This window comes from Homo sapiens, chromosome 2, assembly GCF_000001405.40.
Source record: "Homo sapiens chromosome 2, GRCh38.p14 Primary Assembly".
In the NCBI taxonomy this organism is placed as follows: Eukaryota; Metazoa; Chordata; class Mammalia; order Primates; family Hominidae; genus Homo; species Homo sapiens.
Window position 1 is genome coordinate 7,191,366 of NC_000002.12, and position 2,144 is coordinate 7,193,509.

The window sequence follows — 2,144 nt, forward strand, 5'->3', positions numbered from 1 at the left end:
GTCCCTGAAGGGAGCACCTTCTGTTACTTGGTGCTTACTGCCTGCCTTTTCAAACACTAGTTAATTTCTCTAGATTTTTTTCCTTACAAAGACCAAATTACCTCTTAATACTCATTTTGTAGATAGAAATAAGCTTTTTTTTTTCTTTTTTAACTACTGCCTTTTGAAGTCAGGTCTTTAGCTTATTTTCCTTCTTACTTCCTTTCTGCCACCGTCTGCCACTGGCGGTTCTCCCATAGGTTGTCCTTACATGCACGACAGCCACAGAGTGTGCCTGGGAGGTTATGCTGGAGTCTCTCTATTCACTGAACACAGTTTACCTCTCCACGAATACTTCCAGGCATCATCTTCCACACCGGGAGCCACTGAGCCCCCTTGATAGTTACAATTCTGACTACACTGCTTCCTAGGCAGAGTCTCCTACACAGGGGCTCTGCTGTTCTGTGCTTGGTGCATTTCCAAGGGGGTCTTCAGCCCGTGAATGAGAAGTTATGGAGTGCAAGGGAAGGAACTGAGGTGATGGAGGTCAGCCAGCCTGGGATCCACATTTAGCTGGGCCCTGACTTGCTCCATCTCTGTGGGTAATTTGCCATCCTCCTCTGTGCCTCTTTTCCTCTCTATAATAAGGAATTCTTGTCTATGATGTAGTCTTTCCTGCATGCCTTGTGTCTGCTTTGCCCTGTGGTTGCTCTCTCTTGGAATGTTTCTACCTTCTGCACATCTGCTTTGTAATGTGAAGGCCACAGCTTATCCACATATACGTAAGGAATTCACCCAATTGAATTAAGCAGACCGGTGACTTCATGGCCTTGGTATGTATTAGCCCCGCTAAGAAGGCTGGATCTATGCCAGCTTTTAATAGAGAGCGTGATCCCCACATAGTGTATAAGCTGCTGTGCAGTTTACAACTGTGGGCTGTGTGTATTTCATGGTATTATCAGCATTTTCTCAGATCTCACTCTTAACCCCTTGGCTTTATGGTTTTACTTTGTTGTCTAGAAGTTGAGTTGCTCCTCCCTTATCCCACTTTGGCTTATCATTGATTAATTTGTAAAATATTCTCCTGGGCCAGGTGTGGTGGCCCGTGCCTGCAACCCCAGCATTTGGGGAGGCCAAGGCAGGAGGATTGCTCGAGGCCAAATGTTTGATGCCAAGAGTTCAAGACCTGTCTCTACACAAAATTAGAATAAAAAAATTAGCCATGTGCAGTGGTACACGCCTATAATCCCAGCTACTAGGGAGGGTGAGGTAGGAGGATCAGTTGAGCCCAGGAGTTCAAGGCTGCTGCAGGGATCTAGTATCACACCATAGTACTCATCCTGGGCAACAGAGCAAAACCCTGTCTCTGTTTAACAGTCAATCAATCAATAAAAATGAAAGTAAAATATTCTCCTATAACTTTCATTCAAAAATATTGCTTAAAATACAGGTGGTTACACACAGACCTATTTAGAGTTGCATGACTGTATACAAGTTAGCATATACATGCTTTTTCTTGCTGTGTCAGCTATGATGACCCAGAAGTAGTGATACTCCAGTAGCAACAAACACACCTAGTGCCCAGATGTTGTTTTCTAATACCATTCTCTCATGAAAGAGACCAAACCTCCTTGGAAAAAATGTCTGATTCTAGAACTGGGAAAAAAAAATATGCAAGAGGAGCCTGGAACATCTTGTAGTGCCAGAAAATGAGCTAGGGCAGAAACAACAAAAAATGAAAATCCCACAATGATAGGGATGTGACAAAGGGAGAAGGGAGCCAAATGAAAGAGTCTCCCATGGTAAGGCCTGCAAAGACTGGAGCAAAATAAAGTAGTATTGTATTATAAACAAAAGTGTCTGACAAATATCCATGAATCATTGTTGATATAAAAAAATGGATGGCTAACTACACGGGGGAAAAAGACGAATCTACGCAGGAGATTTGCAAATGATTTCTGTAGATATTTTATCCTTAAGGCTGTGGGCACAGTTCCCTATCACTTGGATGTGGGCTGGGTGTAGTGATTTTCTTCTAATGAGTACAGTTAGGGAAAGAGGAAAAGATGAATTCTGTAGAGGAGAAACTTGACAAGCATGACCTCAGCCAGGTGATCAAGGTCAAATCAACAATAACAAGTCATCTTGCTGCTATTTACTCTTTA